The following is a 23,031-nucleotide window of genomic DNA, read 5'->3' on the forward strand; positions in this document are numbered from 1 at the left end:
TTCAAAGCTAGCTTTAAAAAGAGAACACCCTAAGATCAGGAATTCCTATTTTATAAAATAATATACTACCCCCTACCTCTACCCCCAAAACTAGATTTTTTCAAGGCTCCAGTTGAATGACTTATCAGACCCATAGTCTTATGGTTACAATGCCCCAAGGGCAACTTCTACCAGGTAAGCAATGTACCACTGTGCTGGCAGAGAACATTCACTACAAAGAGGATAAATAAATGTAGAGGTTTTTTCAAAACTTATTTAAGTTGAAATCAACTTAAAACTTCTGAAAAGCATCTCACTCTTTCATTGCTTTCATTTGGAAAACTATTTCATCCCTGGAACAATGGCAAGGACAAAACAGTGACACTGTCTTCTCTACAATTCCTGAAGAAAGAACACACAGGGCAAAAAAGGCTCCTATGAATCCCCTACACCTCACTCCCATTTTCCTTTTTTTTTAATCTTTGAAACCCAAATGAAAGACAAGGTTGCAGATATTCCGGTCAGTCCTTGGAAAGACAATTCAAGATTGATAGTTTAAGGTAACTTTACTAAGAGTACCCTCAAAGTTAGAGGTATAGACCATGTCTTAGGCAAAAAGTCATAGAAGTCTAGTTGGGGCTATGCTGAACTAGGGACACTTCTTTTAGAGTTCAACCTGATGAGACCAGGAAGCAGTAGATGAGGAATGGCTAAGATGGGCAGACATTAGAACTGCTTGTACCTTATCCCTCACCACTCATTCTGCCAAAGCAGATCCTGTTTTGGGTCAGCTGAAAAAAAAGAATAATGGGTAGTGGAGTGGCCCTATCTACTATGAAAAAGAAAGAAAGGAGAATCCCTGGTATCTCACGACAGCACAATTTGACATTCCACTTGGTGACTAAATATGTATTTTAATTGTATTATGTTACACACAGAATTGCTTATAACTGCATTAGGACATTCTTTGAGGGCATGAATTCCACTTCAGGTGTTCTACCTATTGTCAAAGCATATTATTTAGTAAGTTAAAAAATTCATTTATATTAAAACTTAAAAGTAATACTTATAAATCATTTAAATCTGAATTGATAAATTATTTTTAAAACTTACTGCTTCAGCTTCTGCTCTTGTCTTGAATGTAATTACTGCATGAAGTGAGGAATCATCAATCTGACAATCTTCAATTTCACCATATTGCTTTAAATTAAAAAAAAAGTATTTCCTCCAAATAAATATTTTGAAATATCCAAAAATCCTAATGGTATTAAAAAACATTAAAATACTAATAAATATAACCCAGAATACATAACAATTCATAATGGTTAACAGAAAAGTATGGTGAGTAATTTATTTTAGTACTTGATAAGATAAAAGGTGGTCCTGTCTTCCAATCTTACATACAATTCACACTTCCCAGAATTAGTAAAACTTATACTCAATTGAACTATGCTTTAAATGAAGGAAATAATGGTCAAAGCCTGAGCGTTCTTGCTAACTAACTTTCCTCTTATACTCACTAAACCAATCCCAAGATAAACTCTTTCTTAAGCAACATACTGAATCCTCAGAATTTGTGAGTTTTTGGTATCATTCTCAATAAATGGGGAAAGAAAGAAAAAGAAAATTTAAGTAACTTCCCCAAAGTTAATTGTTAATTAATGGGAAGAGATTCCAGGTCTCTTGATTCAAAAGTTTAACACCCTAACTGACCATGGTTTTGCTTACTACACACTCTACTGTACTTTATAGTTGTTTAGAACATTTAAAAGCTAAACACATTATATTATTCCTGTTTTTGGTTTGTTGGATTTTTTTCCCTCATGTGTGGGAGGATTTTTCTACAAACAGCAACCTTTATCCCACAAAATTCTAGTCCTTTATATATCATTATCAATACCTTCCTAATTATCCCCCCCAAAAATTATAACTGTAATCTCATTAGCTCCACACATATCATAGAAATGTTCTGTAGAGCACAGTAAAGAGAATGTCCTAGAGCCACTAAGATTCTAGCTCTGCCAGTTATTAGCTGTGTAAACAAGTTACTTAACCTCATCATGCATCATTTTCTTCACCTCTAAAATGGGCGTAAATAAAGGTATCTACCTCACAGGGTTATCCAAATAATTCATAATGAATTATTGTAAGGCACTCAGAGGGCATACCTGCCACAAAGTAAGTGCTCTATAGGTTTTTAGTTATAATTTTTATTACTATTACTACTGGTACTGGAAGATACAGCATTTTTGTTAATCACAATTTGTAATAGTTAATGGTCCTTTAACATCACATATATTAAATAATGTAAATTTTTTTTCCTCTGACATCCATCATGTGTTCAAATCATAGGTTGAGAGAAAAGAAGCTAAACTTCAACTAAACCTGTGCTCATACTTAAGACTAATAATTTAAATGTGAACTTTGGAGTGAAATTTCAATGTCCAAATGCATGTCAGAATTTTCATTTAGAGGCTCTGAATACTTCTCAGCCAAAAGCACCTTAGTCTCACCAAAACATAAATCACAACAAACTCACTTTGTCTGTTTGGATTATTTTAGCACATTCATTGTTAGTTTCCTGATTAGCTGTAAAACTATACACAACATACAAATTATCTGGCTCTCCTTTCTCTTGTGGAAGGTGTGGAAGTGGGGTACACAGCAGGGAAAAGATGGGCAAGATTTATTTCCAAGCTCCTTTCTAGTTCTCTTAATTCCTTTCTTTATCCCTTTAAATCCACCAAGAACAGGACTTTAGACTCCTCATTCTTAAATACTAATCATTTTGGTTATTTCTTAAACATAAACCATTTCTGTCAATATCTCCTTATGTCCTGACAAAATATCTGTAACTGCTGCAAGCCTCCAATATGATTTTTAAACACCTAAGTCTGAATTTTCAAAAGGTTAAATCATTTATGTACCTACCTACTAGCTTACCTATTCTTTAAGATCTAAATTACAGTTTTACTACTTTATGAAACTTTCCTCTATTGTTCTTTTTTCCATCATATGCCAGCGTGATACTTCTCTAAGTTACTAAAGTATTTATAGTGCTTAATAAATTATAATTTGATTATAAATTATGTCTGTAGTTTATTCTGTGTTAAACTGATACATGTAAAAGCCTTGAGGATAAAGAACTGATTATTTCCTTCATATCTCCAGAGCAACTACTATTAAATATAATGCTGAGGGTAAAACTGATGCTTAGTAACCAACCTTTGGGATACCACTAAGAATCACAGCATTTGAGATGAAAGGGCCATTCAGCAGGTATAATCTTCATTTTGAACATGAGCCTAATAAATCCCAGGAAGTCCAAGTTAAATAATGGATTAACAGAGACTAGAATCCCATTCTCCCTTCTTGTAGGTCAATATATTACCATTATACAAAGTCTTTTTCATTACATCCTGACACTGACGGAGGCAACTTCAAGATCATAGGTCAAAATTTTATCTTGTTTCAATACTGGGTCAGCTAGATCAAGAATACATTTTTAACAAACACAAACCTTATTTTAAAAATCTGGATGGCCCATGCAATATGTTAACTTTTTCTTTAAAAGTAAATATCAAATCAAACTAAACTACAAGACTTCCCTCTCTGAAACAGCAAAGTTTATATTGTTCATTTCACAGTATTTCATGGCCTACTAAGTGTAAGAATAGTAATGTCTCTTCTAGATAATTATACAAATCCTACAGTTTGTTTTTAAATTAACAAAAAAATTAAAGATTAAACTCTTTGTTCAGATTAACGAGTTGAAATTACTTATGTCCTTTTCATAACTTCCTCTTTAATTATGTCTACTATCCCCAATGATGATTATCAGCATTTGTTTTGTTGAGCAGTAAGAAAGTACCGCAAAATGAGGAAGAAGATCTTCTCTATCGCTCTCCGTAAATGCAGAAATCTCCAATGCCCTGGGACGGTGATCCACCACAGCATGACCAGGCACACCTCGCCCTCGCCCTCGCCCCCTGCCTCGGCCATGAACTGCACCTCGACCTCTTGAATGAATTCCTCTGCCCCGACCAGATGAAAGAATCCCTCGTTTGGCAGCCTAGAAGAGATTAGACACACAGGTTAAACAATGCTGTGATTACTAACACAAGCCAAGCATTACACTCTGGCAGATGAATAAAACTTTAATGCAATTTGACAATGTATTCAAATGCCCTATAAAAGGATCACATAATTTAAATTGGGGTTTTAGTTTAGTGAAAGTAAATGTAGGTGGCTAGTAAACTGAAACAAAAAAATAACACTGAGGTCTTGGAATTACTAAATGTGCCTTTTTCTAAGTTCTTGCTCTCTAAGACATCAGGATATATCACAAAAAGATCAGCAACTCCTGATTTCCAAGTATGCAGTGTTAAATGTTACTTCAGAAGTCAGGATAATAAACAGATAATACCTACATTCACAATAAATACATTTTTTCCAGTTATGATTTTCTATTTGTTTGCCAATTGACTTCAATAGGTACAGTTATCTCAAATCATTTTAATTACTTATCACTAACATCATTATAGAACTGATGTAACACACTGATATTCTACCACATTATTCTGTATGATGATAGCACACCACTCCTTCATTCCACAAATACTTAATGTGCACTTTCTGTGTGCAAGTCTTTACCCTCATGAAACCCAAGTCGTAAGTGTAAAGAAGCATTAAACAACTAAGTTATGGCCAGGAGTGGTGGCTCACGCCTGTAATCCCAAAACTTTAGGAGGCCGAGGCAGGCAGATCAACTGAGGCCAAAAGTTCAAGACCAGCCTGACCAACATGGAAAAACCTCATCTCTACTAAAAATACTGAAAATTAGCCAGGCGTAGTGCCTGTAGTCCCAGCTACTCGGGAGGCTGAGGCAGGAGAATCACTTGAACCTGGGAGGCAGAGGTTGCAGCGAGCCGAGATCGCGCCACTACACTCCAGCCTGGGCGACAGAGCAAGATTCCATCTTAAAAAACAACAAGAGCAACTAAGTTATTTAACTATATTAATGAGAAGTGACTCAAAACGTGAAGAAATGCTTTAAGATTCGAAAAGAACTTCAAAGATTTGCAGTGAATAACCCACTAGAATGTACGTTCCCTCAAGATATTTTTTTTTCCATTTTATTCTCCGCTTTATTCCCAGCAGTAGCTGGTGGATTGTATTTAATACTTGTTCAATGAATCAAAGGAGGAGCAAAGAAAAAAGGCAAGAATGAGGTAGGGGTTACGGCATGAAAAAAGGCACCAACGCTGAAAGAAATGTAATTTCCCAAAGAATGAATATAATCCAGTGTAGCTGGATGGAGAGATAAGCCTGGAGAAAGGCAGAGTCAGATTACACATAACTTTAAGGATCATGTTAAGGATTCTGAGTTTTATCCCAAGAGCCATAAAAATAAATTAAAAGATTTTAAGCAGTAAAAGAGTGATGTAACCAAATCAGTGCTGAAGAGGATATTCTGGCTAGAGTTTTAAGAACAGAGTAGAAGGAAGAAAAGAAGCTGGGAAACCATTCAGTATGCCACTACAAAAGACCTGAAGAAGGAAGTCTGGACTACAGTAGTGGCAATGGAGATAGAAGTAAACGCATTTAAGATACATTTAGGAGTAACATATATAAAATTTGATAATTAATTAGATATAGATGCTGAAGCAAAGGGAGAAATCAATTAAGACTGCCAGATTTCTGGTTTGTATAACTGTACAGATGGGGTGTAGGAGCAAGATAAGCAAAATTTTGAAGATGTTGAGTCTTAGATGTGAGATACCCAAATGGAAGTGTGAAGCAGGCACAGCTGCCAAATCTCTGCTAGTACAGGTATTTCAGTTTCTGCATCTCAAGACAGTTAATCTTAGCATTAGCTAAAATAATCATCTAATATCCAAATAATAATGCCAAGTGAAATAAGCCAGGCAAAGAAATACAAATACTGTATGATCTCACTTATACATGGAATCTAAAACAATCAAACTCATAGAAGCAGACAGCAGAATGGTGGTTACCAGGGGCTGTGGGGACAGGAAGAATGGAGAGATGTTGGTCAAAGTGTACAATGTTTCAGTCAGATAGGAAGAGTAAGTTCTAGAGATCTATTGTACAGCACTGGTTGGTGACCACAGTTAATAATAATTATTGTATACTTGAAAATTGCTGAGAGAGTAGAGTTTAAATGTTCAATTTTCATCAAAAAAATCACAAGTATGTGGGGTGATGGACATGTTAGCTTGACGTAATCAATTCACAACTTACACATATATCAAAACATTTTGGATTATCATATATATAATTCTTCATTTGTCAATATAACAAAATAACACGTAATAATAAATTTTGAAGCTCAAGGATTAATATTAGTAATAGAACAGTATATACGGAAGTATGCTCTGAGGAATATTAATGCCTCAAAATGCTCCTTGAAAAGGAGGGTCCTTGGACAAATAAACTTGAGTAACACTGAATACTTAATATGTATTTTTAGAGATTCAGAAATTAAAAGCCTCTAAGAAACCCCACAGTAAAAACGCATATCCAATATAACCTGTTCTAAGGTTGTATTATTTAGCCTAAGAACCTTTTTTCACCAGTTTTCTATTAACAACTAATGGAATGACTGTGCTGAATGAACACACTCTGGGAAGTACTGCATTACTGCATAAAACTAATATTCACTGAAAACTAAACGTAAGCCGTGATAAAGGAAAAACAGAAAATGTCATTCAGTGTTTAGCTATGTTATAATAAAAAAGCAAAACACAGAATAATAAGGAATTTTGTTAATGCTATTATTTATTTAAATTATGGGCCAGAATTTTGAAAATGATATTTTGTTTCAAAGATTCCACCAACACTGGCATAAAATCGCTACAATGGGAAAAACACAATTTCTCTATTAACATAAAAGAAATATTTTTCAAACTTTTTTTTTTCCCCAAAAAAAATACTGGGCAGGACACACATGCAACCACATCAAGTTTCCAGAGAATGCAAAGGTATGAACATTTAGGACAACATCCTATGGCTTCCTATGACTTTCAGAGAAGACAGAGCTTTAAGGCAAGTATGGTAGCTACTAAATGTTAAGTCTTTAATACCTGGATGGCAGTATTCAAAACAGATTTCTACCGTGTCCAAAAAATGATCAAGTTGCCAACAAGTTAAGAAAAAAGCATTAATCTCAGCTAAAGCTAAATAATCTAAAGTATAAAAATCTTAAATTCCTGTATCAAACCACAATACAGACATGTGCCAACTATATTAATGACGTTAATGTCTATTTCAAAATACAGTTCCAATCTTTGAACCTCTTTTTGCTATTCAAAAATTCTCTCTCATATCATATAACAGGAATCAATTTCACTAGGAGTTGTTTCTTATATAAATAACCATCTAATTAAATTACAAGAAAGAAGTTTATTTCTCTTTTCTAAACATCCACAGCACCATCTATAGGCAAAACTCAAGTAAACATATTCTTCAAAATAGTTCTCAATATAGTTCTCCAACTAAAACTCGCATACAGCAACTCAATTTATATGCAAAGAATATCTCCATAAGAATACCTGAAAAGACTTTATTATAAGTTTTCTATTCCAGGGAGGACAGACCAAAAATAGAAAGAAATAAAATTCATTAGAAATGGAGGAACTTGGGGATATAGGCAGAATTACTGCCACTCCTCATTAAATAAGATTTTATCTAGTACCTCTGAAAAATTTGTTGACCTCTTCCCTCTTTCCTATATTAACATCTCAATATGTATGCCAGGGATTACCAACAATTACTAATGAGAATGAAGGGAAGGGAATATATTTTTAAATTGACCACTACAACTACATTTGCTTCTTTTAAGCCTACTGTGTAGTTGTGATTAAACATACTTCCAGCTGTAATTCTGTATACTTTCTCCTAAGTTCAGTGACTTCTTCTCCAGCCTGCATCTTCTTATATAAATCCAGTTCTGTGTCAAGTAATTCCTTCTGCATCTAAAAAATAGTAATTAATATTTTAGGTGACAGTAATTACTATCCTGTATTGATACAAACCTTTTTAAAGTAACTTTTACGCAGTCCCATTTAATCCATATATTTCTATCTCCAGTATAATCACTCTAATCCAAGCCAAAATACTCCACACCTCCACAATAACTGCAACAGCTTCCTAACTTGTTGCTACTTTCACTGATTTTCCTATAATTCATTTTCCATACAGCAGCCAGAAGGAGATTTACACAGACTGATATGGGGTAATTAAAGGAAATAACTGAAAGGAAAAGTAAAAAACAAACCCTAAAAAACCAAGGTGCTAATGAGCAATACAGAGTATGTTTTTATGTAGAAAACATACCTATCTACATTCATATATTTACAAAAAGAAAAACTAGGATAAACCACAACTAATGATACTGGTGACCTATAAGGGATGGGTGGGGACAGAGTGCCAGGAGTCAAAGGGAAAGGGGTCTTTTATGTATTCCTTTTTATATAGTTTTGCTTTTGAACCATGAGAATTGTTTCACTTGTTCAAAGAATAAAATACAATCTGCAAGAATTGGGGCCAGGGAGAGGCGATCCAAAACTGAATACAAATGCAAATAGATTTAACTTTATCAAATTAGTAACAACTACACAAAAGGGGGAAAAAAGTAATTTTAGACCACAGTTCTGACTTTACACCTTTAGTGGAATACACCGAGGCTGTAAAGAACGTAAATACATTTGAATTTTATATTTAGTTAGTTGTTGGAAGTGGTATTGTTGTAGCAATTTTTGAGCTACTTTGAACGTATTATAGCACTGTGTTTAATAATAATATATTGATATTAGTGGAACGAAGTTGTCATTATGGGAACAGAAATAAAATACGAAATAAGGAAGAGCCATGTGATGTTGGGTTTGAATTTAAAATATCAATTAGAGTCATGACCTTATACATATATACATACAGACACACCAAGTATAAACATTGTATAACCCTGTTTTTTTCTTAATCACTTATTACCATCTATGTAGATTGATCTACCTGATCAACCTGAATTTTCCCCTTTTCAGTCAATCCACCGTGTACGGTGTTGTCAGAATGTTATTCATACTTGTCTATTATTAACCCTCTATATCACCAACTACTATTATATAAAACTAGTCAAGCAGTCAAGTACCTATATCACTTTGTCCTCAAGCGGCCTTTTCAAGGTTACCCATGACTATTTTTCTAATTAGTGACTTTCCAACTATAACAGAATTTAAAAGATTAGTAGAGTTTACTTGTTTGTACTTTTTTATTTATGGCAGGGGGAGAATGGTACATACAATGGTCAGATTTTGAACAGAAGATATTACCTACAAGAAAAACTGAATCTTAAAAATGTAGTGTCTAATGCTTGTTAATAAGTAATAATATGAACAACAATGAAATTAAATACCTGAGTCTTGGTTTTTATACTTTTTGGAAGACAGCGTCCAGGAGAAGCAGCTTTGACCTCATCTTTCAACTTGGTAATATTTTTTGTCAAAACCTCTAAAGTTTTCATTATTTCTGCTTTATCTTCAGACTTCATTGTTTTGTTTTTCTCCAGTTTTGAAATTAACATCTGCCAAATTTTTAAAAAGAGAAAAATAAAGCTAATTACTCCTATTATCATTAACAAAACAAACACTGCAAAGTAATTTAAAAATAAATATTACTACTTTTTTTAGTTTATGCATTCGTGAGAAGGCTAACAACCATGAATTATCTAAAGATCGCAGAATAGCAGATTTGGTGATGCTAACTATCTCAACTCAAGTTTTACTCTTGGTTAAATTTGTGAAGAACTGTTACTATTTGGGTCTCTCAGAACATAAGTTTGAAGCACACAACCAGAAGAAACTCAATTCTATCACTGAAAAATTATCAATTTGAAAAATATATTAACAATTTTACTTTCTAATCCATTTGTTGATGTTACGCCTCTAAGTATTCCCACTATCAATGTCATCTCCAGCCCAGAAAGAACCAGAGGAAAAGTTTTATGGTTCCTTTCATACAATGAGATATTAGAAAAAATGAATGTTTAATTACTTTTTCACCTGAGAATGGTATTCCCAACATGAACAGGAAACAACAAGATAAGCAAGATAGTATGGGTAAAAGAAGCCACATGATTTATTGTAGGTTTCCTGAATTAGGATGGCTTCAGTTTTTGGTTTTGTAAAGTATTGTGATTTTTCTTAATCAAGTATATCCAACTTTAAATTAGAAAAGACACACATTTCAAATCAAAATGTAGTTTCTGTATTTTCAACATTTTGAAATGTCATACTACTAACCTTCATTACTAGACATAATCAAGAACTGAGACTAATTAAATGTCATAAATTAGAGTAACTCAGTCCAAAAGAAAGAACCCAAGTCACATAAGTAATTTTTAATTTTCTAGCAGTCACATTAAAAACATAAAAAGAAACAAATACAATTAATTTAATAAAATATTTTGCTTAACCTAATATATCCAAAATGTGACATTTCAACAATTATTGTGATGTTTTACTTTTTTCTTTGTACTACATTTTGAGATCTAGTGTATATTTTACACTTATAGCACATCTCAATTTGGACTAGACACATTCCAAATGCTCAACAGTCAGATGTGGCTATAGACAGTCACATGTGGCTACTAACTGCTATACTAAAAAACACAGGACTAGAGGATCCTAAGCTAGTGAAGAAAGGTACATATCAATACTGAGAAAAAAGGTTCCATTTAATTATCTGTTGAAAAAACTACTGTGCAGCAACACAACTGAATGAACACCTTAATTTCATGTTGATAACTATAGTACCAGTTAAAGTATAAAGTATACCCACCATCTGATGTATGCTCTTCATCTCCAATATTATCACTGACAAATATTTGTTTTACCATTACCAATTATAGTAAATCTTTTTATGACTAGGTAGCATAAGATTAAGTTCACTCCAAATTATAACATTTGCAATTTGGCCAAATCTAACTTTAACATTTTACCTTCTGTGTTTCAATGTGCTTTTCTAAAATTTCTTGTTTCCTTTTCCTTACATCCTGCTGAAGTTTCAATGCCTCCTAGAATCAGGGATCAAAAATATCATTAGAATATTACTAAGGATAAACAATATTATTCAAGAGAAGAGAAATAGTTGTAACTGCAGAAGTCTGTCAACAAAAATTATATGCAAGGCTTTTCTATGTAAAACTTAAAATATGTATGCAAGTTTCAAAGATTAATCACAGGAACCTTTCTTTCAAAGAAAAAATTTTTATTTACCGCTATACTATGGAAAATAAACGTTCAGTGGCAGCCAACAAACACCCTTGTAGTCTTATTTTGCAATAAGCACTGAAAAAACACATACACAAGGAAAGCTTTCCTATATGCAAAAATTTTTTATACTATACCAGTTGTACTTACCTGTTTTTTTTTCTGTGCTTCATTATTATCAACTGCAGAGGTGGAAACAAGTAAGGTTTTCTGTGCAGCCTTCAAAGCAGCTGGATTATACACTGTTTTTGTTAGGCCAGTAGATGTAGACAACACCTACCAATACAAATTCAACTTTTAAAAATATATATCAGCCGTTCATGATATCCTATTTTCTATAAGACTCAACTTTAAAGCACTACTGTTAAACTTCAGCTTCAAAACACACTGAACTAAATGTATTTTATACTTATAATAACGAAATCATATTTGGTGATTTGAAAGGTAGAGTATAAATAATAAGCTCTAAAATTTAAAAAAATGAACACCAAATACCTATAGAAAAAAAAGTAAAGAAAAACATGAAAATGTCAAAAAGAAAAACATTACTATTACTACATCACTGAGAAAGCATTAGTTGTTGAATACATTTACTAATATTTGTAGTGACTAAAGCAGAAGCCACACTCAAGAGCATGGCACAGGAGGAAACTGGTTGCTGTCCCTCAATTTAACACAATCATTTGCAACTTCCAGTACTGAAACATACCCTATTGCATTCATTCTCCAATCCTTTGGTAGCAATGCTCCTTCTGCTTGAACTGACCTTACTCCCCTAAACTCAGCTTAGGTTCAGCCTAACACAATCAAGACCTCTAACAAAGCCTGGATCATTTCTCTTTTCTACCTAGGTCCTTATATGAAATTTTATTTCTTTGGCTATTAGGTAAAAATGCTATTAGCTATTTTTAGTTAGTGTCAGCTATTTAGTAAAAAAAAACGACCTGATAATATATTAATTAATGTGTCTTTTCCCCCGTCTACAATGTAAGGGCATTAACATAAAGACTTGCCTTTCTCTTCTGCGCATCTTCCAGTACCTAAGTCTTGCCACCAACTAATTATGAGGCCACGGGTAAGATTAAGTACCATTCTGGGCCTCAGTTTGCTCATCTATAAAATAAAGAAGATGAACATGATGGTGTCTAAAGTCCTTACAAACCCAAAAATGCATTCCAAGAGGGCAGAGATTTTGCTTGTTTTTTAACTTGGTTCAGTGCTACAAACAGTGCCAGGGCACAGGGTAAGTACTCAAAAAACATTTCTGCACTAAACTAGACTGAAATGACTATAGGTCAGAGTGGACAACCTTTTCTATACAACGGTCAGCTCAAAAAAAAAAAGTATTGGGTATCTTTTTTATCCTTCAAAAGAAAAACAGTTTAAGTTCCACGGGGTGACTGGTTACTGGTTCTTAAAAAGAAGCCTAGGAATCCCTGTAGGGTGATCTACGAATGCTATAAAACTAAACATGAAAGCATGTGTGTGAACACTGCAATTTTTCTAAGGAAAAACATTGTTTTCTCAAGTCATTGTTTCTAAAGGAGTTCATGACCTAAATAAGGTTAAAAGAACTACTCAAGTTTAAGAGTATAAATGAGAAAAGTGGCCCTATTTTTTAGCCACTGAAACATTAACATCTGGTTAACAGGTAAGTAGCAATCTGAAGACTACTTTCTAATCTTTCATCATGAAATCTGATTAGGGAACATCACAAATCGCTATTCTAAGTATTCAAGAAAGTGTTAGCCTCTAAACGAAATAAAAACCTAAAATATTATAATTGTACTAGTTTCATACAGTACAGCTGATATTTAAAAAGAAAGGTTCTTAACAATATTTGATGTGTATTAAAATTTGATCAATTATTATATTTGTGAGACAGGGTCTCACTTTGTCACCCAGGCTGGAGCATAGTGGCCCAGATCTTGGCTCACTGAAACTTCCACCTCATGGGCTCAAGTGATCCTCAGCCTCCCAAGTAGCTGGGACCTCAGCCGCGCACCACCACACCCGGCTAATGTTTTGTATTTTTTGTAGAGACAGGGTTTCTCGCCATGTTGCCCAGGCTGGTCTCAAACTCCTGAGCTCAAGCAATCTTCCTGCCTTGGCGCCCCAAACTGTTGGGATTATAGGTGTGAGCCACCATACTCGACCAATTAAACAAAGATTTTGTTTGTGGTCAGACTTCAGTGACCTTTCTTTGTAATTCTAGAGAAAAATTTCTTCCATGCTACCTAACCACAGCACAAAATGCCAAACCACATGACTATACAAAGACAAGACAATATATTAGTAGAGAAACACAGGATAAACTGAAAACAGAGCCTAATTAAGTTTCACAAACTGTTTTCTTCATGAGGATTCCATAAGTTGAAAAGTTGTGGCCAAAAGAAAAAACTCCTAATTATTTAAGTGTGAAACAATGAATATCGTAACCCAATTTTCCAGTTTTTAATTTATATTATCTTCATAATAAAAGCAGTGAGAAGCCAAGAACAAACCCATATAATTTATTTAACCAAGTATTTCTCCAGTTTCAGTGAGAATACTCCTTTTCAAATCATTTTTGACATGTAGTATCAGACTAAGGAGTGCTGGTTCAAAGTGAATAAAAGTATCTGACAATGATAAGACTCCTTTATTCCTAGAAGTATTCCCATTTCCTTTTTTATCCAGGAACATCCTTCTGTAAAACTAGAACATCCACGAATGTGACTCACTAAGGCTACAACTCAGTGACTGTAAGACAAACTATCATTTATGTACCCCTACTAAAGAAAAAAAGGCTGCCAATCATAACCTGTGTCTAACAATTATAAGACACAGCCCAACGTCAGAGGTGTTAAAATGTAAAAATGTGACTTATAAACAATGAACTATATTGTTCACTATTTGAATCTATCTGGTTCTGGAGATTAGACAGTTTGGATAGTAAGAGACACATGTATTTTCAAAAGAAGAAAATCTATTAAAACTGAAATTAGTGGAGGGAAGTAACGAGCCCAACAGAAAAGAAGATACTCCAATTCCTAAGAACAGAGACAGTGACTTCTCCAAACAACCACATTTCTATATTCCAAATGCATTTCTATATGTGCTATAATTTTTACATATTTACTTCTATACATCTTACTACACTTACTTAATCCCAACTGTGTGAATTATTTTGAATTTTCTATATCTACAACCATGTCATCTGCAAGTAAACAGTTTTATTTCCAATCTTTATATGGTTTATTCTATTTTCCTTCCTTAGTGCACCCATGAGTCTCTCCAGTACAATACTAAAAAAAATAAAAGTGATGCAAATGGACATCCTTGTCTTTCCCAACCTCAAGGAAAAACAGTCAATATTTCACAATTGAATATTATGTTAGCTGTAGTTTTTTTTCTTTTATTGCAGATTTCCTTCATCAAATTAAAACAGTTTTTCTCTATTCCTCCTTTGCAGAGTGTTTAATGTAACTAAGTAACAGAACACTTTCTCTACTGAGCTAATCATCTAGAGTTTTTTCCTCCCTCATTCTACTAACATCAATTAAACTGATTTTTCCAATGGTAAATCAACCTTGAATTTCTGGAATAAATACTACCTGGCCATGAATGATTATGTATTTCATGTATCACTGGACATTTGCTAATATTTTCTCTAGGATATTTGTGTCTATGTTCATGACAGATGTTGGTCTGTAATTTTCCTTTCTTATAGTATATTGTCAGGTTTGGTATGCTGAACTCAGAAAATAAGTTGAAAAGTATCATGTGCTGTGTTGTTAAAATGTATAGCACTAATACCTCTTATTTTCCCTAAAGAGAGGGAGGTTACAATCCATTAACACCTCCTTATTTTATTTCCTATGTAAAATAATACCAGCCACAATAACTATAAGTAATCGTAAAGAAAGAGAAAAACAGCTGTTTTTCATAGATAAGAATGGAAGGGAAAAAGTATTTTGTAAAATTAAGTTATCCGAGTATGATTTTTCAATAACCAATGCCTAAGTAGAAATTAAATACAAATATAGTTATGATGTCTAGCAGCCACACTCACAATAAATAGCTCCAACAGGTTTTTAAAGCAGAAATACATTGGTTTAATGCAATCAAAAGACAGTATGAGGAGCTATGTGTAGGAAACGTATTAATACAGTTACTGTATGGTCAGTTTTCATAGTAAGTAGTCACCTGTTCAGTAAATCTGAATGTTCGTTTATGATATTCACTTAAAGCAGCACACAGATGTGCGTTCTGTATCAAACCTGAGAATTCTGGTGAGAAGAATGGGATTTTGGTTTAAAGTTAAGTTTATACATACTTTTAGATATTAATCGTTTTTAAATTTCAAGAACACAAAGTATGTTTTAATGCACTGATCTACCTTATCTTTTTTGTAGCTTTCAAAATTTTATTCTTTTAATTGACAAAAACTGTATAGAGATGTCCCTTAACTTATGATGGGGCTATATCCATTGTAAGCTGAAATACCATTTAAGTTGAAAATACATTTTCAACTTGTAAGTAATAAATGCATCATCAAATTGAAAAACTGTTAGTCAAGTCACCGTAAGTTGATGACTGTCTGTGTATTTATCATGTACAACATGCTGTTTGAAATATATACACTGTAAAATGGCTAAGTCAAGCTAATTAACATTTGTATTACGTCACTTTTTTTTGTGGTGAGCTGCTTTCTTGGCAATTTTCAAGAATGCAACACATTGTTATTAACTATAGTCACCACGTTGTACTATAGATATCTTTAATTTATTTCTTCTATCTAACTGAAGTTTTATATCTTTTGACCAACATTTCCCAATCCCCTGTCCTCAGCCACTGGTAACCACCATTCTACTCTCTGCTTCTATGAGTTCAACTTTTTAAGATTCCACATATAAGTGAAATAGACAAAGGGATTAAAAGAAACAAAGATTAAAAAACTTGCAGAGAAATATTTTAACAAACATCAAAGTAAAAAATATGTACAGCTAGTAATGAATTTTTGCTACACAAATAGCTTAGTTACTACAAAGTTCAGCAAAGCTAATACACTCAAATAAATTAATTTCATATTTTCCTGAAAAAAAAATGCAGGTAATAATCCTGAGAGGCCACTGAATTAAAAAATAAAAATTAAAAATAGTCAATAACAGTTAAGAAAAAAAAACTATGATAAATCCCACTCTTTTTTTTTTTTTTGAGACAGAGTCTAGCTCTGCCACCCAGGCTGGGGTGCAGTGGCGCCATCTCGGCTCATTGCAACCTCCACCTCCCTGGTTCAAGTGATTCTCCTGCCAGCCTCCCAAGTAGCTGGGATTACAGGCGCCCGCCACGAGGCCCAGCTAATTTTTGTATTTTTAGAAGAGACAGGGTTTCACTGTATTGGCCAGGCTGGTCTCGAACTCCTGACCTCGTGATCTGCCTACCTCGGCCTCCCAAAGTGCTGGGATTACAAGCGTGAGCCATGCGCCCAGCCAAATCCCTCTAAATCTTTTAACTAGCAAAGTTACACAACAAATTCAAATTTCAAAAATCCAAGGAAACATATTAAGATTTGCTTAGCATCTACACAATGGCACCTGCTAAATCAACAGGTGAAGTTTCTCTATAACATGCAATATTCTTTTAATTATACCACACAATTTTCCTTTTAAAAGTTCCATGGTATAGATGTTAATATATCATCATGCAGAGACCAAGATATATTTTTACATTGCAAAAACCACAAGAACAATAACATCCTGTATCATAAATCTGATATTTAAAGCTGATATGATAAAGAAGATTAAATATTCCACTGGTTACGCAGTTTGCCTTCTTAGAATTTAGAAGGGATTCAGCAAGATAATTTGAACGGTCTTAAGTCTGTTTTAAAAAACTAACCAGGACAGTATACACAGATGTAGCCCTTTATTCTTCATGAATTTCTTTAGTAAGCAGAGGCACTCAAACATAATTTATCAAATCTATTCACATAATAACTAAATACCTCTTGCAATATCTTCATATTTACCAGCAGCAATTACGTTTTAACTTTCCTCTCTTCTAGCCTCCTCACGAAAATGGGGTCTCAGGATAAAGAATAATCACTAAAGGTTTTACTGTGTGTTGTTGATAGGGAAGGTATAAAATGTTACATTTGTGTATTTATTTAGTTTAATAATGACATAGGATACTGTATAGATACAAGCTTTGGGTTTTCCCCTGCCTTCATTTTTTTTAAAAAAAGAATCTTTCAACTAATATTTGATGATGGGGAACATTCTTCTATTCTTTCTAAGACTTCTTTGAATCACTGCCCTGTAAGTATTTTGGACCCAAACCCCCTAAGGATTAGGGGAACAGAAACAACAAAAATAAGCAAAAATAAAATGTTTCTCTGTAAAGACACTCACTGAAGATGAATAAAAGTTACATACTTACTGTTTTCCTTAATAGGCTGTTTACGGTATTTATCAAAAATATTTTTCCCCATAAATAGCTTGCTACCATAAATGATTTTTTTCCCATAAAAATTCAGTTAGTAGTTTATTGCATTAGCATAATATATGGGTATATATATTAGTCTATGCATTAGTAAAGTTATATTATCAACTACAAATTTGTACTCACAATACACTGCAAAAATTTTATAAAAGCTATGAGTACACACTTCAATTTCAAAAGTCCAAATCTGACATTACAGACTCCAAATATAACTGAGCATTTTAGATGTCTCTAGAATTTCTCAGTAGTACACTAAGTACAGCTGAACTTAGTGTTAAATTTTATTTTACATTTAATTGACAGAACTGTACATATTTATGGGGTACAGTGTGATGTTTTGATACATATATACATTATGTAATAATCAAAATCTATCACCTCAAACACTTCCAGTGTTTCTTTTTTCTGAAATACTTATTTTCAACGAGGATAAACCTAATCCAAGTAAGTATTTGATACTGCTAAATTTAGTAGCACAGACTAAGCAGCACAGAAATTCCAAGGAGGAGGTGGGGATAACAGAAAAATCTGGAGGTTTCATGGGAGATGTTAGAGAGACTTTCACTCTTTAAATAATGACTGGAATTTAGTTGGGGCGGCGGGGGGGGAAATGCACTCCAGAAAAATCACCACCAAAAAAATAAAATAAAATAATAAAAGTCAGGAAAGGCCAAAGGAAAACGAGCAGAAAAGTACTCCCTTGGGTAAAAAGACTAGAGCAGAAGTAATAGAACCAGAATTATTGAGTTATCGATGAGCTGTGAATCAAGGAAAGTAATTTAGCTGAGAAACTCAAAGTTTCTATAATGAATTAACGCCAAAATAAGTCTGAGTGTAAGATGGTGACAGTATAAACTAGACGAGGGGAATTCCAGGATGCCAGTTAAGACACTGCACCCAGAGGCTAGGGAACTGAAGGTGGCAGAAAAAGAAGTGGTCTACAAACACAAGCAAATGATTGTAAGGCTTTTGGATCACACAGCTTAGAAAATGGTGTTATCACTTTCTGAGCTAAGGGCTAGGATAAATTAATTTATATAGGAAATAATGAATTCATTTTAGGCACATTATGCCCGAAGTAATGCTGAGATGCCCAAGAGCAAAGTCTGATACACAAACTCAGATTCAAATACCTAAAACTGCCAAAGTTTAACATTGTAAATAAAGAAAATAATATACTGAAGAATATAGTGAAGACAGCAGGGCAGCTATCTCACTGATGCATTATCTCTGAAATTGATTCCCAATCTTCAGACTGAAAAGAGCCATGGACTAAAAATAGGAGCCCCAAATTCTAGTTCTGGCTCAGTGACTCACAGTATACAGATGAAATCATAACACTGTTTGGGCCTTGACTTTAAGATAAGCATATAGAACTAAGAAAGATTATTTAATTCTCACATTCTGTGATTTCATATGCCTCAAATAAAATCAAAGACAAAGTATTTACTCATACCTAAACAAAAAAAAAAAATAACATCTACACAGAACTATAAGATATATCCATAAATGGTCTTGATTTAATAAATATTTACCCCCCTTCATTTAAAAAAAAAGAAATGACTATATGTATTGCTATGCTACCTCTATTACTGTTTAGTAATAAGTGAAAAACTTACATTTACATCATCCTTTCCAGTTTACAAAAATATTTGTAAATAAATGATTTTATTTGATCTTCAGAAAACCCCATGAGCAAGATAAATATTACCATCACCATTTTACCGATGAGTAAAAAGATTCAGAAAAATTAAGAACACTGCCCAACGTCATGCAGTTAGTAAGTGAAGAGCCAGGGCTCAAACTCAGGTGAAATTCCTAATCATGGCCCTTTCTATTAGGCTGCCAGAGTTGTCAAATCAAAATGCACAGTATCTCTAAAGAAAACAAAGTAAATAAAAAGAATAAAACAAAGAAAAGGAATGGAGTACATGGAAATATAGTGGGAGGCAAGTATTAAAATGCTGATGCAAAAGTAAAAAAAGGAAAATATTTTTCTTTTTCAGCAAATGGAAACCAAAAGGTAGGAAAAGATACAGATACTATTAAGAAGCAAGAGTTTAGAACTATGAAAAAAAATTAAAAATTAAGATGCCACCTGAAAACATTTATGAAGCCAAGACAAACACATCATGCTATTCTTCTTACCTTTTCAGTTGCTGAAACAGATGGCTTTGATACAAAACCCAACCTGTCCTTCACAGATAACTTAGTTACATTCTAAAAAAATTAAAATGGACATATTCAGTGTTTCCCCAAACATATAAAAGTCTGTTGGGATCTTGAACATTCTGATTCTACTAATATATACAGAGTCTATGAGTATACCAATACTAACCACAAAAACTTGGTCCTTCTTAAAAGAGACAGAAAGAAAATATGTGGGAAAACAAAAATAAACAGTATGCAATATTATTCAATCATGAAAAATGATGTAAACTAAGAGGTCTGAGCCACGTGGTTGCTAAAGTCCCTGCCACTGACACAGAATAAATTAGGAGAAAATCTCAAATTTTAAAAATTAAAATATATGCCCACTTACTGAGCTTAAAAATAGTGCCAACTTCTTCTAAAGTATGTTTATTTTATATCCAAATATACTGTATTTGGTGATAATTTGGGATGATAGGACTGGGAATTTTTTAAATTAACTAATAATTTACCAATAGACATTCTGCATGTCCTTGCAGAAATTCAGCATCTTACTCTTCAGGAATTATCTAGGAAGACTACTTTAATAAGGTGGCATCCACTAGCTAAGTAGGACACTACATCCTAACTCTATTTTACACAGCAAATGCTGAAACATCGGGAGACAAAGGAAAGCTAAGTTTCAGAGACTGAGAATGTAGAAACAAGAAACTGCCACTCAAGTGTTGAAGGAAGTGGGAAGGAAATGATATATGGAGAAAAGAATCCCAGAGTCAGGAATAAGTGATGCAAAGTTATGAGAGAGCAGTCTAAGTACTTAAAACAGTATAATATCAAGCATGCTTAACTTGATGGTTTAAGCCTTCCCTTACCATAAGCTTTTAGTTTAGTTCAGTCTACTACACAATTATCTCCGGAACAGAATTCTAATTAAGTAAAAAGATGATGGAAAAAATAAGATTTAATGTACTCAACTTCACTCTTCGGGCAGTTTTGCTGACATGTATCTCCTCCACAAAGTGAGAGAGAAATCTTTCTCATAAATATTAACTGGAGAGAGGAATTTAAGATTTAAATACTATAGGAAAAGTAGAGACTGAGAAAATGTTATGGTAATGGTAAAAATTAAAAAAAAAAAAACAACCTTATAGGTGGGGTTCAAATATGTAAAGACTATCATATTTCTATGTAAAATATATACAATTAACTATAATTCAAATCACCAAGGGAAACTAAATTACTGAGAACCTATTACGGGCACAATCGTAAGACCTTTGCTTTACCTGAGGAAGGTCTGAAGAGGCACTCTGGGCTTCTGCAGGTTCAATAGTACTTGAAGGTACTGGACCCAGCCGCTCTTTGACTGACTGCTTCACAACAGGCAAAATGGGCTGCTGGACTAAAGGCTGCATTACCTCAGAACAAGGAAAAAATGTTAAACAAGTTGATTCATTCAAAAGGATGGAAAGTGACCTGTGTTATTTTGTTACTACATTGCCCATGCAGAGAAAGTTTTTAAAATGCAGCTTATAGTCAAAACCTAACTGCCTTCTAATTTCATCCACACATATACAAAGATGTTTTCTTTGCATAAAATAACTTATTTACTGGAATAAATTAAAGTCCAACTTTCAATATCTTCTAACAATCAAAACCCATACTGTTGTAATATACCTCTATAAACACTCTAACATTACACACCGATGGGGGTTGGGACAAAAAGGAGGGAGAAAGGGGAGAGGGGAAAGAAGAGAGAATCTCTAAGATGAACCTACAGTCTAAATTTCTGGAATATACATAGCTGAGTACTCCTATCTGCCACGGACTATTCCATATGTCTCACATACACCATGCTGTTCTTTCAACTAGCAATTAACATCACAATTATGAGAGAACAGGTTAGAAAGGTTGAGTAAATTTTTCAAGTCTTTACAGGTAACAGAAGCTAAATGCAGAACCAGGGTATGAACTCAGGCCTACTTGATTCCAATGCCTCTACTCGTAAACGCTATGCTAAGAGCTTTCTAAGAAATGCGCGTACTTTTACACAAATTCCTCTCTTACCTTTGGAGAAGTAGTTTGTAACTGTTGGGTGCTTCCTTCTCTGTGCCAATAAACCTTAATAAAGCGATTGTTTAATACTGCTTCCGTACTTGATATTGCTTTCTTTGCTTCTTCGTATGTTGCAAATTGGATTAGGGCACCTTCAGGATCACCATTATAAGCAACCTAAGATTTAAAATATTAAGAACAGTGAATTTCCAAAGGAATCTGTTGCTTCATAGAGTAAAATTCCCCAGTAAGTGAAATACTGGTCCTTCCAAGTAAGATTCTGTATTTATACTTCTTGGTATCTGGATTAGTAGACCACAGTCTACTTTTACTCCAGAAGAAATAGTAACCAAGGATTGTTCACAGCATAAAAAGAGTTCCTCTATATAATAGCAGAGAAAGTCGACTGCATAAATGTTACATATAGGCATTCAAAGTGTTTCTCTTTTTATTCCCAATTTTAATAGCAACTATGAGAAACAATCCCTATTGTCAATAAATGACATGGCAAAGATCCACAGAATCTGAAGAAGGCAGTAAATTACTTTGCAAGGGGTTATCTCTAATAAAAAATTACAGAAAAATCCATCTGAACAATTGCCCAAATTTGTAATTCTCACATTTCCAAAAGCACAAGAAAATTTAAGAACAAAAAAAAAGAGACCATGTAACAACAGCATCAATCACATTTGATACATGAGAAAACCGAGATTTCAAGGAATGTGATTCTATAGACACTTACAGCTAATAAGTAATAAATCCAAGACTTTTCACTTCAAATTCCTATTCTTTCAATAATAGAGTTTTCCAAAGTGTGGTATATAAACCACTGGTGGTGTGCAGCAATACAGAAAAGAGATTAACAGTGGCCTGGGCCAGGCATGGTGGCTCATGTCAGTAATCCCAGCACTCTGGGAGACCAAGGCAGGAGGACTGCTTGAGCCCAGGAGTTCAAGGCCAGCCTGGACAACATATTAAGACCCCACTGGTACAAATAATAATTGAAAAAATATTAGCCGGGTGTGGTGGCACACAACTGTGGTCCCAGCTACTCGGGACGCTGAGGCAGGAGAAT

General features: G+C 33.8%; 1 protein-coding gene across 50 annotated transcripts in view; it reads right to left on the reverse strand.

Annotated features, from left to right (window-relative positions):
- RBM26 (RNA binding motif protein 26) overlaps positions 1-23,031 on the reverse strand; it is a 94,429-nt gene that overhangs the window by 21,425 nt on the left and 49,973 nt on the right. For 16 of the 50 annotated variants that reach the window (XM_047430522.1, XM_047430519.1, XM_047430516.1 and 13 more), the window contains exons 12-20: positions 21,969-22,133; positions 21,188-21,319; positions 19,902-19,973; positions 11,418-11,543; positions 10,997-11,071; positions 9,413-9,580; positions 7,872-7,976; positions 3,851-4,051; positions 1,093-1,179 (exon numbers count right to left, since the gene is read on the reverse strand). In XM_047430522.1, the coding sequence (XP_047286478.1) occupies positions 1,093-1,179; positions 3,851-4,051; positions 7,872-7,976; positions 9,413-9,580; positions 10,997-11,071; positions 11,418-11,543; positions 19,902-19,973; positions 21,188-21,319; positions 21,969-22,133 (1,131 nt within the window). The remainder of the gene's footprint in view (positions 1-1,092; positions 1,180-3,850; positions 4,052-7,871; positions 7,977-9,412; positions 9,581-10,996; positions 11,072-11,417; positions 11,544-19,901; positions 19,974-21,187; positions 21,320-21,968; positions 22,134-23,031) is intronic. The other 34 variants (XM_047430534.1, XM_047430533.1, XM_047430531.1 and 31 more) reach the window with 3 other exon arrangements.

This window comes from Homo sapiens, chromosome 13 (genome assembly GCF_000001405.40).
Source record: "Homo sapiens chromosome 13, GRCh38.p14 Primary Assembly".
In the NCBI taxonomy this organism is placed as follows: domain Eukaryota; kingdom Metazoa; phylum Chordata; class Mammalia; order Primates; family Hominidae; genus Homo; species Homo sapiens.